Below are 14,771 nucleotides of genomic sequence, written 5' to 3'. Positions count from 1 at the left end.
GATAACGTCAGGGATAAGTGCTACGATGAGGAGTGATGTGGGCGGTGGCGGCATTGGGGGTTGTCTGTTTTAGACAGGGCTTCAGGAAGTCCTCCCTGAGAAGGTGAGCTTTAGTCAGACACCTGCATGGTGGGAGAGACCAAGCCACGTAGATGTTGGTGAGAAGAACATTCCAGGGACGGGGAACAGTGAATGAAAACCTCAGGGCAGGGCGTGGCGCGATCCAGGCTAAGCCCTTGAAAATCACTGCTGCTGCCACAAATAACACAAAGTCTTTTGTGTTATTCTTGTTGTTCCTGTTGTTCACCTGGCAAGTAGGTGACGAGCAGTGTTTGCTTTGGTGTAAGTAGGTAAACTGAGGCCCAGCTACAGAGGGAGCCTGCAGTGTGCTTGGGAAAGGCTCTAGCCCTTCGAGAGGGCCATTCCTGGCTCTGCCCTGCGTCGGCCAGGCCCCACACCCCTGTGTCTTGGCCATTCTCGGGGAGAATGGGAACTGCTTGCCCCCTAGCCTGGGCCGCAATTGTTGATTTCTCTGCTGTATCCTATGTGGAGTGGCACAGCACAGGTGGCCCTCGAAGGGCAGATGTGGCCGCCATTGACTGCCACTCTGTCCCTGGCCTCTTTGCAGTGCCCATTCATGGACGAGCGGATCATGTGTTTACACAGTAAGATCAAGAGTCAGGCCCTGGAATTTCCAGACCAGTGAGTATCTCCCGCCGTCCCGCATCTCTCCTGTCCGAGTTCTTGGCGGTCCCGTGTCTGCCACCCTGACGCCTCTCCATCCCCAGGCCCGACATAGCTGAGGACTTGAAGGACCTGATCACCCGTATGCTGGACAAGAACCCCGAGTCGAGGATCGTGGTGCCGGAAATCAAGGTACCCTTGGCTCAGCCTGTGCCCCGTGCTCGGAATTGTTTGGCTCAGCCATGCCTCAGCCAGACCCCACACCCTTGTGTCCACAGCACCACACCCTCCTTGGCACCGCTGTTCTCCTATGCCCCAGGGCCTCTGAGCTGCTGGGGGCTGTTGAGGGCTGGGTAGGAAGATTTGGGCATTGTGTGCACTGTGACTGTGGGAGTGGGATCTATGACCCGCCAGCCTGCACTTGCTCTGATTGGCGTGGGCTGATGGGATCCACCCTCTGCAGACCGGCATGGGGCCTCCGTGCTCCACACCCTATTCCCAGAGCTCAGGTCCTTTCCAAAGGCCCGTCCCTTTGAGAAACTGCAGTGAGGATGGGAGGAAATTAATGAGCAATTCGACCTCCCCAGCCTGCTGAATCCCACCCTCTTGCAGAAAGCACTTTTAGGAAAGTGTATTCCCCTACACATCTCCACTAATGCCACACACATATATCTGGCCCTCTAGGAAATCTAGAGATTTGCCCTGGGACTTCCTAGGCAGCTAGCTAACTGGCATTTGAAGGTCTTAACAGAAGGCAGCCCAAAAAATCATGGATTGGGGCTTGGACCCAAGGGGGCAGACCCCTGCCTGGGTCCTCTCCTGATCCTGTCCTGCCAGCTGGTCCCACCATGCCTCCAAGCCTCTCCTGCTGTGAGATGGGGAGAATGCTGCCTGCTGTGCACTGAGCCTCCCAGGTGTCAGGGATTGTGGCTGAGGAGTGATGGATGCTCCTTGGGCAGCCAGGCAAGGCAGATGCCAAATTCCCATCACTTCGGCCAAGACCCGGGGCCGGATGGAGAATCGCCCCACTTCCATTTCAGCCTTGTAGCTCCTCCCGTCCTGTCTCTCCGTCTTCATGTTTCCGCCCCTTTGCTCACCCCTGCCCTCTGCTCGCCAGCTGTTTTGCATGCCTGACCACAGGCCCTTGCCTCTCCGTCCTGCATGCCCTTGTGGCTCCGCTCGCTGGCAGGGCCCCCCGGTAGCCAGCCACACCTGCCCCTCACCCCTCCTGTCGTTCGTTGAAGCTGCACCCCTGGGTCACGAGGCATGGGGCGGAGCCGTTGCCGTCGGAGGATGAGAACTGCACGCTGGTCGAAGTGACTGAAGAGGAGGTCGAGAACTCAGTCAAACACATTCCCAGCTTGGCAACCGTGGTAAGGTGGATGGACCCCTGACCCAGAGCAGGGACCCAGGAGCCTGAGGTGGGGCCTGGCCAGGACAGGCCGGACACAGGCGGGTGCCCGGGAGTCAGATGTCCGGGGGCCACCCCTAATCCACAGCTGCTGGCCTCTGGGCCTTGGTCATGTATCAGGCCAGGTGACCCCTGCATCTTCTGAGCCAGGTTCCATGTTACCATAGGAAGGGGAAGATTATCCTTCTGGAATTCCTGCTTTCAGAGCTCATCAGGGGAGAGGAACTAGGAGAAGTTCCAGGCAGGGGCAAGGGTTGGGAGCCGGAGCCCAGGTCTCTAAGCCAGGATTCCCGCCTAGCTGGAATTTTAGGCTCCAGGGTGGATGGCGTAGCATATCTCACGTCTGCTGTGTGGGCAGCCACCAGGGGTAGGGGCAGGGACTTCCACGCACACACTCAGAAAGTTCTGCCCATCTCCTGAGAGTGAGAATTGCTTAGGAGCAAGTAGGTCCCCTTTTATGGCCTTGAATTTGGATCCTGACCCAGGAAGAAGGAGCCAGAATGTAGAGTCCTCAGGCCTAACCTTGGAGGCTCTGGGAATCGCCACTGACCAAGTCCCTGTCCAGGAGGGCAGTTAGCTCCAAGAGAGAGACCAAGAGTCCCAGGGATCCAGGTTCCAGGCAGCAGGCTTGGGGACAGAGACCAGCAGGTTGTCCCACCACAGCCACCTCGAAAGGCCTGGTTGCAGTTGGCCAGCACTAGTCCCAGTGGGCCGGCGGGCCCCTGGGCTCTGGGAGGGACCCTTGAGACTGGCTGGAAAGGCACAGAAGGTCCAGCTGTGAAGGATTGCCCCTGTAGGAGCCCAGATGCTGCTCCTGCTCCTCCAGCTTTGCACCTCTCTTCTCTGCTTCCCCACACACTTCCTCTCTCCTCCTCCCAAAGCTGAGCCCTGGCTGGGGCATCCATCCACATCTTCCTCCACTCTTTCCCCACCTGGGGCTGTGCAGGACCTTCACTGTTGAAGACCCACCCACACCCACTCACCCTTCCTCAACCACCCCTTGTGCCTGTAGACGAGGAGACAGCTGGCGTCGGACTCTGCACCCACCGTGGGTTACTGTGTTCCAGGCTCAGGAGGTTCTCAGTCCTGAATCAGTTGCCCTCCCTTTCCTTCCTGGGTCTCTGGGACGGGTTCTTGGGAGAAAGCGTCTGGCCCTGGAGGTCTGGAGTAGGCATTCATTATACGGGAAACACTTGTTGAACACCGAGTGGTTTCTCAGGCCTGTGCTGGGAGCAGGGGCTGGGTGGAGTGATGAACAAAACCCCCATGGCCTCTGCCATGCTTGAGAGGCAGATGCTGGTCAAACCAACAAATGTATGTACAGTGCAGTAGAGGGACCACAGGACATGCCCCTAATGGAGGCACACTTGGACCCACTGGGAAGAAGTGGATAGACACCGAGAGGATGGTAGGGTGTTAACTCCGCCGAGAGAGGGCGGACGGGCTAACACACTGGGTGGGGCCACTGAAGCAGGGCAAGGAAGGTGGAGGGAGGGTGTGGCGAGGTTTTACATGTTTACTCCAAGAGCATGGGTTTGAATCAGGGTTTGAACCAGGGCAGCTGGAGCAGGGATGGGCGGGTAGATACTGGGAAGTGGTCTGACTTGGGACAAGATGGCAAGGTCCAGGCCCCCTGCATGTGTTCATCATTTAGCAAACACGGAGCAGCCAGTGTGTGCCAGGCATAGGTGTCAAAGATGAGCTTAGCCCAGTGCCTGCTCTCAGGGGTAGGGGGCTGGGGGGCTGGGGGAGGGGCTCCTGGCCTTATAAGAAAGATGGACCTGGGAAGAATCAGCCTCCTGTGTGATCAGAGGCCAGTGCAGAGAGATGCAAGGGCTGGGGGCTTCACAGAGGAGGAGCTCCTGCTCTGGGTTGACAAGGCCACAGGGGAGGCGGCAGGGTGGGCTCACCTGGGGAGTGACATCTGCTCAGACACAGAGGAAAGAGGGGCTGGCATGTCCCAGTGACTGTAAGAACCTCAGTAGGGGAAGAGGCCTTCATTCTCTCTCTCTTTTTTTTTTGAGATGGAGTTTTGCTCTCGTTGCCCAGGCTGGAGTGCAGTGGTGTGGTCTTGGCTCACTGCAACCTCCGCCTCCCAGGTTCAAGCAATTCTTCTGCCTCAGCCTCCCATGTAGCTGGGATGACAGGTGCCTACCACCATGCCCAGCTAATTTTTGTATTTTTAGTGGAGACGCGGTTTCTCCATGCTGGCCAGGCTGGTCTCAAACTCCTGACCTCAGGTGATCCACCTGCCTCAGCCTCCCAAAGTGCTGGTATTACAAGCATGAGCCACCACGCCCGCCTCCCCCCCCCCGCTCCTTCTTTTAAATTGAGGTAGAATTCACATAACATAAAATTAAAGTGAACAATTCAGTGACATTTGGGACATTCACAGTGACATGCAATTATCTCCTCAATAGTTCTGAACATTTTCATTACTTCACACCCCCGCCCATCAGCAATGACTCTCCATTCACCTCCCCCCAGCCCTGGCACCCACTCACCTGCCCTCTGTGTCTATAGATTTGTGTATTCTGGTGGAATCCTACACTCTGAGGCCTTTCGGGCCTGGCTACTTTGACGTAGGAGAAGGTTTTCAGGGTCCGTTTGTGTTGTAGCATGGATCAGTGCTTCACTCCTTATGGCTGAATCATGTTCCATTGCACAGACAGACCGCTTTGAGTTTATCTTCTTCAGTTGATGGGCATTTGGGTGTTTGCATCTTTTGGTAAATCAGTGTTTCTTAAACACTTATTTTTCTTGTTAGCAGCAAATGCTTAAAAAGTCAGAAGCTCTGTGAATTCCCAAAACAGCTTGAAGGGGCACCGTGCCCTGGTTGGGGTGGGGTGAGGGGCCCAGTGACTCTTATGGGGCCCTCAGGCCATTCCCTTCATGGGAAATGGCAGCCAAGAGCATCACCAAGAATGACTGGTTCACGTCCTTGCTCCAGAACTTTCCGGGGCTCTCTGGCTGACCACAGGCCAAGTTCCAGACCCCTCTGGGTGGGGATGCTGAGTCAGGGAGTGAGGGGACCAGATCTGGGTTTTGGAAGGGATGGGAGGGAGGGAGGTGGAAAGCAGGGAGGCCTGGGAGAGACGCTGAGCAGTGGCTGAGGGTGTGGTGCAGGACAGCACCTTTTCCCAGAGGATTCTTTCGGCGGGGGTTGGTTGCGGGGTGGTGCTGCCCAGTTTCTCTCAAAGTCTGCCATCGGTCACCAGCCCTGGGAGCTGGCAGGGGCTGGGGAGAAGGAAGAGGGAGGATGTTGCCCAGAATCGCCCCCACATGGCCAAGCAGTTGCCTGCCACCTCCTCTTTTCTCCCTCTTCAGATCCTGGTGAAGACCATGATACGTAAACGCTCCTTTGGGAACCCATTCGAGGGCAGCCGGCGGGAGGAACGCTCACTGTCAGCGCCTGGAAACTTGCTCACGTGAGTGGCCGCCTGCCTTCTTGGGTGGGGGAGTGGTGGCTGGAGGCTAGGCTTGGGGCAGCCCTGCCCAGACCACTCTGCACAGGTCCTCCCTGAAGTGGTGCCATCTGGAGAGACTCAGATGAAACCCACCTGGTGCACTGGGACAGTCAGCACCCCAACCTGGGCTCAGCCCACCTCCTTTTGCTGACAGCTAATCCACCTGAAGTTTACCTTTCTCGGGAACTTGCACTGTAGCTGGGGGGCTCTTGGTCAGTCAGAAGAAAAGCACTTTTGTGGCCCGGGACCGTGAGTGCCTGATGGGGAGGTTTGAGGCTCTGTGCTGGGCGAGCAGTGTGGTCTCACTCAGGACCCTGTGTGTCCATGCAGAGAGGTGTCCACTCATCTGCTGTCAACGCCACCCTGGCTCCAGCTCTATGAAGCTGGTGTTTGGGGTCTGAGTGTCTCAGGGTGGGGGAACGGGCATCCCGTGGATCCCAAGGGTCCCTTCTCACTTCCCTTTTCCCTCCCTCTGGTGATTCCAGCAAAAAACCAACCAGGGAATGTGAGTCCCTGTCTGAGCTCAAGGTAACGCCCGCCTGCCTGTGCCGTAGCCTCTGCTGGGGCCTGAGGGGGGCGGGTGGGCAGCTGCAGAGCACGGGGGCATCCCCACCCGGGCAGATGCTCCTTCCAGCCTGGGCTGCTGTGGCCCGGCTCACCGCGGGCCTCCAGACCCAGTATTAGAATGAGGGGCCTCGGGGGCTTGGACCCAATGGTGGGTCATGCATGTGGGCTGGGGCTGCGGGTGCATGGCGCTCCAGCTGGAATGCCTGAGAATGCACCCAGGTCTGAAGATCCTGTGTGGCACCCATGTCTTCTCAGTGCACGTCAATGGTGTTGAAGCTCTGTCACAGGGCCCATGGGTGCCCCCCCGAGTCCGCATGGTCAGCACATAGGTCAGGCATGCTGCACTGTGTGGCTCTTCGCTAGGGGCTCTCCAGCCTCCACTTCTCTTTCTTTGATGTGTTTAGACCTAGAAAATAAGTCCCCTTCCTGCCTGTTGCAAAGTAACGTAAGAGTTCCCTCACCCGAGTGGATGCAGACCTTCTTGCTGTCAGCCACCCTTCCTTCATACACATAGCCAGCCCAGGTGACCAGAACCTCCCAGGACAGATGAGGCTTTGTGTCCTTATGAGACTGGGAGAACCTGCTGGGCACCCCTGCTGCAGGTGCTGTGGTGGGTGGGGACCCCACTGCCCTTCCCACTGAGCACATCATGGCTACCTGACTTGGTGGGAGCTCCAGGCAGTCACTTCTGTTTCTTAAACATAGCTTTACTGAGGTACAATTCACATACCATGTAATTCACCCACGGGAAGTGTATGATTCAGTGGTTTCTAATACAGACTTCTGCAGCCATTACCACCGTCAACTTTACGACATTTTCATCAGCCCAAGAAGACACCCTACACTCCTTAGCTGTCCCCATCCAACTCCCCCACCCCAGTAACCACTCAGAATAGGTATGGATTTGCCTATTCTGGACGTTTCGTATAAATGGCGTCATACACTACGTGGCCTTCTGTGTCTGGCTTCTTTCTCTCAGCATCATGTTTTCAAGGTTCATCCATGCTCTACATGTATTAGTGCTTCATTCCTTTTCATGGCCAAATAAGATTCCATTGTTTGGATGCACCTCACTTTGTTCATCCATTCCTCTGTGGATGGACTTGTCTCCACCTTTTGGCTATCGAATGAAGACTGATGCTATGAACATTTGTGTACAAAGTGTTAGGAGTTGGCTTACGAGATGAAATGGATTGACTAGCAGGCTGGATGCAGTGGCTCACGCCTGTAATCCCAGCACTTTGGGAGGCCGAGGCAGGTGGATCATGAGGTCAGGAGTTTGAGACCAGCCTGGCCAATATGGTGAAACCCCGTCTCTACTAAAAATACAAATATTAGCCGGGCATGGTGGCGCACACTTGTAGTCCCAGCTACTCGGGAGGTGAGGCAGGAGAATCACTTGAACCCAGGAGGTGGAGGTTGCGGTGAGCTGAGATCACGTCATTGCACTCCAGCCTGGGCAACAAGAGCAAAAATCTGTCTCAAAAAAAAAGGCTGGGCGCGGTGGCTCACGCCTGTAATCCCAGCGCTTTGGGAGGCCAAGGCAGGCGAATGACGAGGTCAGGAGATCGAGACCATCCTGGCTAACACAGTGAAACCCCGTCTCTACTAAAAATACAAAAAATTAGCCGGGCGCGGTGGCGGGCGCCTGTAGTCCCAGCTACTCGGGAGGCTGAGGCAGGAGAATGGCGTGAACCCGGGAGGCGGAGCTTGCAGTGAGCCGAGATTGCGCCACAGCACTCCAGCCTGGGCGACAGAGCGAGACTCCGTCTCAAAAAAAAAAGAAAAGAAAAAGAAATGGATTGGCCACCCATCCCGTGGGAGTCAGGGCTTATATGGTAATCTAGGAGGAACACCTGTTTGGGAATTATTTATGCTTTTGAGAGAAACCTTGCCCTCCAGCATAGAGCAGGGAAAATGGCAGTCCTTCAGAACCGGTCTTCAGCAGTCTCAGAAGGCAGACACAGTCCCCAGCTTGTGCCCAGACAGACGCCTGGGCAGCCCCGCCTTGGGTGTGAGCCTCACGGATGATGGAGTGGAAACCCAGCGGGCTGGCCTTTCCTCGGCCTTCCTCCTCTCAATCTCCATTTTAGGGTTTGCCAAACCGGGGCTGCCTCCTGTCTCTGAGCAAGTCTGCTGTTGGTTTCTTTCCTATTTTCTTTCTTTCTTTCTTTCTTTCTTTTTTTTTTTTGAGACAGGGTCTTGCACTGTTGCCCAGGTTGGAGTGTTGGAGTGTAGTGGTGTGATCTCGGCTCACTGCAACCTCTGCCTCCTAGGCTCAAGCGATTCTCCTGCCTCAGCTTCCTGAGTAGCTGGGTTTACAGACATGTGCCACCATGCCCAGCTAATTTTTGTATTTTTTTAGTAGAGATGGGGGTTTCACCATGTTGGCCAGGCTGGTCTTGAACTCCTGACCTCGGGTGATCTGCCTGCCTCAGCCTCCCAAAGTACTGGGATTACAGGCATGAGCCACTGTGCCCGGCCTTCGTTTCAATGAGATCAAAATTGCAAGACACCAGCAGATGGAGACTGGCCCCAAAGGGCTATGCTGCCCCTTCCTTTCTTCACCTGGGATCCCCTGCCCTCAGCCCCCAGCAGGTAGGATGCCTTGGTCATGGGAGCTCACAGAGCTGATTCAGGCACTGGGGGTCTTGGACTGGGGGCCTGCCTGCCGTCTGCAGTAAGACCCAACCCCTACCAACAGGCAACTGCGAGGGCAGAGACTGAGGGCCTGACCTAACGTCTAGTTACAGCGCCCCCCTCCCCAGGGACCTTACCCACATTCTCCATCAGAAACATAGCAAGCCAGACATCACGCTTCCTTTCCCTTGTGTAAGGACAGTCTCCCTCCTGGACAGGAGACACGGATTGTTGTGGGGGAAGGACAGACAGTAACCCATGTGGCATGCCCAGTGACCTCCCTAAGAACAGGGGAGCTGTGTGATGGTGGTGAGGGGATAGGCTCGGGGATTCCCCTCGCACCTGTCACGCCATCCACGCTGTCACACCGGCGGCTCCAGCCTGGGCTCTTCAGGGAAACAAGGGCTCTCCTCCTCCCACTTCCAAGAGGGAAGGGGCCTCCTCTTCTGTCTGAGGTGCTCCTCCCTCAGGGCTGGCTGCAGGAGGGCTGAGGCGGGAGGATCCCTGGAGCAGTTGTCATCTGCCCTTTCTTGAGGGCCAGCTGTGTGCCAGGCCAGGCAGGGGAGGCTCTGATCACCCCCACACACAAGGAACTCAACATCTGGTGACTGAGGACAAGCGTCACAGTCCCTTCCCTGTAAGGGCTCATAGCCTAAGTGGGGGATCGAAGTACCTAAAAACCTGGTATGACAGGCGCCGTGGGGTGGGGGGTGCCTTCTACTTGGGATTTGTGCAGTGAATTTTGGTGTTACATAGTTTTGGAACTGTTGTACGGGTCCTTGCTATTTTTGGCAAATGATGCTGGTCTTTCATTTACAGAGGGGCTGCGTGCAAAGTCTCCTTTGAAAAATTTATGTGAGCAAGGAAAAGGGGAGAGGATCTCAAAGACTGGGTTACGTAGATCACGTTCCAGGGGGTGCGCGACGGCCCACTTGGGCAGGGGGCCCAGATGTGGGAGCAGCTGGCTCAGGGCCTCGCTGGCATTTCTCAGAGTCTTAATGTTGGTTTTCTGTTCGGTGAGCAGGAAGCAAGGCAGCGAAGACAACCTCCAGGGCACCGACCCGCCCCCCGTGGGGGAGGAGGAAGTGCTCTTGTGAGAGGCAGTCCCTGCGTGGAAAGTTGCTGGGCCCCCGCCCCCGGCTCCCCCGCACGCATGCATCCACTGCGGCCGGAGGAGGCCATGGAGCCCGAGTAGCTGCCTGGATCGCTCGACCTCGCATGCGCGCCGCGTCGCCTCTGGGGGGCTGCTGCACCGCGTTTCCATAGCAGCATGTCCTACGGAAACCCAGCACGTGTGTAGAGCCTCGATCGTCATCTCTGGTTATTTGTTTTTTCCTTTGTTGTTTTAAAGGGGACAAAAAAAAAAAAAGGACTTGACTCCATGACGTCGACCGTGGCCGCTGGCTGGCTGGACAGGCGGGTGTGAGGAGTTGCAGACCCAAACCCACGTGCATTTTGGGACAATTGCTTTTTAAAACGTTTTTATGCCAAAAATCCTTCATTGTGATTTTCAGAACCACGTCAGATATACCAAGTGACTGTGTGTGGGGTTTGACAACTGTGGAAAGGCGAGCAGAAAACTCCGGCGGTCTGAGGCCATGGAGGTGGTTGCTGCATTTGAGAGGGAGTAGGGGGCTAGATGTGGCTCCTAGTGCAAACCGGAAACCATGGCACCTTCCAGAGCCGTGGTCTCAAGGAGTCAGAGCAGGGCTGGCCCTCAGTAGCTGCAGGGAGCTTTGATGCAACTTATTTGTAAGAAGGATTTTTAAATTTTTTATGGGTAGAATTGTAGTCAGGAAAACAGAAAGGGCTTGAAATTTAATAAGTGCTGCTGGAAGGGGATTTTCCAAGCCTGGAAGGGTATTCAGCAGCTGTGGTGGGGAAACATTTCTCCTGAAAGACTGAACGTGTTTCTTCATGACAGCTGCTCAAAGCAGGTTTCTGAGATAGCTGACCGAGCTCTGGTAAATCTCTTTGTCAAATTACGAAAACTTCAGGGTGAAATCCTATGCTTCCATGTACATTACATGGCTTAAGATTAAACAAAAACATTTTTCAAGTCTCTAACTAGAGTGAACTCTAGAGCACAGTAGTTCAGAAACTATTTAGAGCTTCCAGGATATATTTCACAGCTTCAGGCATGTGATCAGTTAGAGCCGATGAAACCTATGCCCGCCTGTATATATATTAGCAGCTTAGCTAGTTCATAACCTGTATATTCTAAAGACTGCTAAGGTTTTGTTTTCATTTTAAATCCTAGCTGATTGTTGTGGTCAATGAAATACCCAGTTTCTGGAGGGCCAGGTGGGAAATGCTTTCACTGGACCAACACACAAATGATCATCCTGAGGATCTGAGCTTCCCTAGACTCCACACAATAACCTTGGGGCACCCTTTTAGAGAAGACTGTTGAAACCCACAGCACTCGTTGGGGTATGAGGAAACCAGGGCTTGGCACAGGAAGTTCCCCTTTGTAGCTAAAAGTCCAGAAAGAAAGGGTTCATCTTTTTGACTTCCAACTGATATTGGGAAGTTTGGTTGAGGTTCAAGTGTGACTCCTTCCAGAGCCACAGGTAGGGGAGTGTGAAGTTGAGGGGGAGGAAAGCTGGAAGGACTCTGCCTTGGGAGATTCCCAGCTCTGCTTTCCAGCGCTTGGTGGAATCTGGGCTGGGGAAAGACGGCACCGGGAAACTCTGCTTCCCCATTGTTTCCATCTGATCAGCTGTGGTGTGAGGACTTCTCAGACAAAGGCAAGGCCTCGTGCCCCTGCCCAGCCCATTCATGGAGCCCTGGGCCTTCTTGGCTTCCATAGATCCTAAGCTCTTGACTGTAGTTTAGCCAGACTTGTTTTGCTATCTTATAAGCAGTTCAGAATTAGGGAATGCTGGTTTTGAAGAGCAAAGGACAGGTAGTCTAGAGAGGGTCGTCTGGCCTGCTTGCTGGGTCTTTGTAACCCAGCACTTCCTCTTGCCCTCCTGGCTTTATGTTTATGGGGAGAGGACTCAATAGCTCCACCCCTTCTGGCACCAGATGGGGCTTGGTTAGTTTGCAATAAGCACCTTGCAGAGGTTAAAGCCAGCGGGTCCCTAGTCTTAGGCCCAGCCTGCTTGTGTGGGCTCTGGCCTGGCCTGGTGGCTGGCCCAGGGGGCAGCAGTGCTTAGAGCTTCTGCAGGGCTTCTCTTGTTTACACAGCTGCATCAGACAATGCCATTTCTCCCCACCACGGAACCTTCCATCTAAGATTTCTTCCAGGGAATGCCAGCAATCAGGCAGCACCCAGCTGTGGGGGCAGTGGGGTGGGGGAGACCCACATTGATGACTTTTTTTTTTTCTTTTAATGAAGAAACACCAAAGAAAGCTGTGGAAAGGACCTGCCCCACATGAAAAGGATAAGCCAAGATGGCTGTAAACACAGAGCATTTGAGCTGCCACTCTTGGAGCACATTGATTTTTCAAAAGCCAGCTCTGTCAGGAAAGGAGGTGCTGTTATGAGCAGCTCTTCCAGTGGGCAAAGAGGACGCCCATAATTTCTTCCATTGCTAGCTCATCTGTGGGACCAATTTGGTGTAAGCAACCTGTGGCCTGCACTTGTGGCCTCGAAGGAAGCACAAACCCTCCATCCACTTCCCATTTCCTCTGCCCTTTTCCACCTCCCCCTTCCATCCCACCAGCTGCCAGTGGCTCCCAGAAAGCCTTATTGAGCCCCTTGTTGACACTTGGGGCTGCGGAGGCCTCTCCCTACTGGTCTGGCCTTTCCTGAGAGGCAGGTCTTCCGTCCTCAGAGCCTTTCTGGAACAAGGAGAATGCCTGTGCAGGTGGACACACAGGCCTGGCCTGTCGCTCTCACTTGTCTTCCAGCGGGGAGCTTCACGTTGCCGAGTGGAAGAACCATGACCTCCACTTGCTTCCAAGGTGCTAGGGAAGTTTCAGGGTACGCTGGTTCCCCTCTCCAGCTGGAGGCCGAGTTTCTGGGGACTGCAGATTTTTCTACTCTGTGATCGATTCAATGCCCGATGCTTCTGTTTCATTCCCGACCCTTTCTACTATGCATTTTCCTTTTATCAGGTGTATAAAGTTAAATACTGTGTATTTATCACTAAAAAGTACATGAACTTAAGAGACAACTAAGCCTTTCGTGTTTTTCCACAGGTGTTTAAGCTTCTCTGTACAGTTGAAATAAACAGACAGCAAAATGGTGCCAAGCCTGGGCCTCTTGGGGAGGTTTGTATTGGTGATTGTTTATTTAGGCCGCCTGCCCTGATGTCTGTATTCCTTCCTCAGGCTGACAGCGAGGTCAGATGCCCAAGTCAAGGCTAATGTATTCAGCAAATCTCTAATTTAGAGCATGTCCTAGGACCTTGCTACTCAGTGTGGCTCCCAGACCAGTAGCGCCAGTGTCACCTGTGAGTGGGTTAGAAACGCAGGTGCCGGCCGGGCACGGTGGCTCACACCTGCAATCCCAGCACTTTGGGAGGCCAAGGTGGGAGGATTGCTTGAGCCTAGGAGTTTGAGACCAGCCTGGACAACATGGCAAGACCCCATCTCTTAAAAAAAAAAAAAAAAATTAAAAAATTAATTGAGTGTGGTGGTGCATGCCTATGGTCCCACAGCTACTCAGGAGGCTGAGGTGGGGGGATTACGTGAACCCTGGAGGTCAAGGCTGCAGTGAGCTGTGATCATGCCACTGCACACCAGCCTGGGCAACAGGGCGAGACCCTGTTTCAAAAATTAAAAGAAAAAAATAAATGCAGATACCCAGGCTTGGCTTAAACCTGCTCCCCAGGTGACTCGTCCGTGTGCTGAAGTTTGAGCAGCACTGCTTTCGCAGGCAGGTAATTGCAAGATTCTGGTGGAGGCCAGACAGGTGGGCAGCCCCCGAGCAGTCTCAGTCACACTGAACTATGGCCTGGTATGCCACATGACACTTTACCCCACGAGGTAGGGATTAACCTCGTTTTATGGATCATCGTCTGTGAGGTGAGGCTCCAGAAAGTTAAGTCAGTTGTCCAAGGGTTAGAATTTGCCAGCAAAACCCTTCTGGTTTTCTTTTTTGAGACAGGGTCTCGTTCTGTCACCCAGCCTGGAGTGCAGTGGCAGTCTCGGCTCACTGCAATCTCCACCTCTCAGGCTTAAGTGATCCATCCACTTTGGGTTCCAAAGTAGCTGGGACCACAGGGGCCCACCACCACACCAGCCCCCACACCCAGATAATTCTTAAATTTTTTATAGAGACAGAATCTCACTATATTACCCAGGCCTGGTCTCAAACTCCTGGACTCAAGCAGTCCTCCCACCTCAGCCTCCCGAGTTGCTGGGACTACAGATGTGCACCACCATGCCTGGCTAATTTTTAAATTATTTGTAGGGATGAGGTCTCACTACCTGTTGCCCAGGCTGGTCTCAAACTCTTGGACCAAGTAATCCTCCTGCCTCAGCCTCCCAAAGTGCTGGGATGACAGGCGCGCATCACCACACCCAGCCTCCTGCTGGTGTTCATGGCATCTAGAAACACACCCGCCCCTCACCCCAACACTGGCTTGCTTTCACATTTGTTTTAGAAAAGAGGCTAAACAGCATCTCCCCCACTTCGGAAGACAGCCAGTGACCATCACTCCTTGACGAGCAAGATCATAAACACACCCATTGCCCTTAAGTCTGTTTTGTGCTGCTGTTACAGGGACCTAAGACTGGGTAATTTATAAAGAACAATAATTGATTTCTCACATTTCTGGAGGCCAGGAAGTTCAAGATCAAGGTGCTGGCAGGTTTGGTATCTGGTGAGGGCTGCTCTCTGCTTCCAAGAGGGTGCCTTGGTGCCGCATCCTTTGGAGGGAGGAACACTTGTCCTCGCGTGGCAGACAGTGGCAAGGCAGACGGGGGATGAGCTCCCTCTCTAGCCCTCGTATAGGGCACCAACCCCATTCATGAGGGCAGCGCAATCCTGACTCAGTCACCTCCCCAAGGCTTCACCTCCCAATAAGGTTGCCTTGGGGATGAAGTTT

General features: G+C 54.3%; 1 protein-coding gene across 24 annotated transcripts in view, besides 3 other annotated features; it reads left to right on the top strand.

Moving 5' to 3' along the window:
- The window catches only part of CAMKK2 (calcium/calmodulin dependent protein kinase kinase 2), a 60,128-nt gene extending 47,157 nt beyond the window's left edge, over positions 1 to 12,971 (top strand). For 5 of the 24 annotated variants that reach the window (NM_006549.4, NM_001270485.2, XM_047428101.1 and 2 more), the window contains 6 exons: positions 629 to 702; positions 789 to 876; positions 1,929 to 2,057; positions 5,423 to 5,523; positions 6,048 to 6,090; positions 9,794 to 12,971. In NM_006549.4, the coding sequence (NP_006540.3) occupies positions 629 to 702; positions 789 to 876; positions 1,929 to 2,057; positions 5,423 to 5,523; positions 6,048 to 6,090; positions 9,794 to 9,964 (606 nt within the window). In that variant the 3' untranslated portion in view covers positions 9,965 to 12,971. Of the gene's footprint in view, positions 1 to 628; positions 703 to 788; positions 877 to 1,801; positions 2,058 to 5,422; positions 5,524 to 6,047; positions 6,091 to 6,533; positions 7,076 to 9,793 lie in introns of those variants that run through there. The other 19 variants (XM_017018702.3, XM_011537763.1, XM_047428102.1 and 16 more) reach the window with 8 other exon arrangements.
- Positions 1,643 to 1,722: an enhancer, noted in NCBI's record as "active region_7161". NCBI's record gives its function as "activates an Ori minimal core promoter by ATAC-STARR-seq in GM12878 lymphoblastoid cells {active_cell/tissue: GM12878}" and the evidence as "EXISTENCE:reporter gene assay evidence [ECO:0000049][PMID:35858748]".
- Positions 4,666 to 4,879: a silencer, noted in NCBI's record as "fragment chr12:121683587-121683800 (GRCh37/hg19 assembly coordinates)". NCBI's record gives its function as "represses an EF-1alpha promoter that drives an FKBP-Casp9 reporter gene in an ReSE screen in K562 erythroleukemia cells {active_cell/tissue: K562}" and the evidence as "EXISTENCE:reporter gene assay evidence [ECO:0000049][PMID:32094911]".
- Positions 9,818 to 9,897: a silencer, noted in NCBI's record as "silent region_4971". NCBI's record gives its function as "represses an Ori minimal core promoter by ATAC-STARR-seq in GM12878 lymphoblastoid cells {active_cell/tissue: GM12878}" and the evidence as "EXISTENCE:reporter gene assay evidence [ECO:0000049][PMID:35858748]".

The sequence above is a fragment of the Homo sapiens genome, chromosome 12, assembly GCF_000001405.40.
Source record: "Homo sapiens chromosome 12, GRCh38.p14 Primary Assembly".
Taxonomy (NCBI): Eukaryota; Metazoa; Chordata; class Mammalia; order Primates; family Hominidae; genus Homo; species Homo sapiens.
The sequence above is the reverse complement of the archived record's forward strand: the minus strand, read 5'-3'. Positions and strand labels throughout refer to the sequence as shown.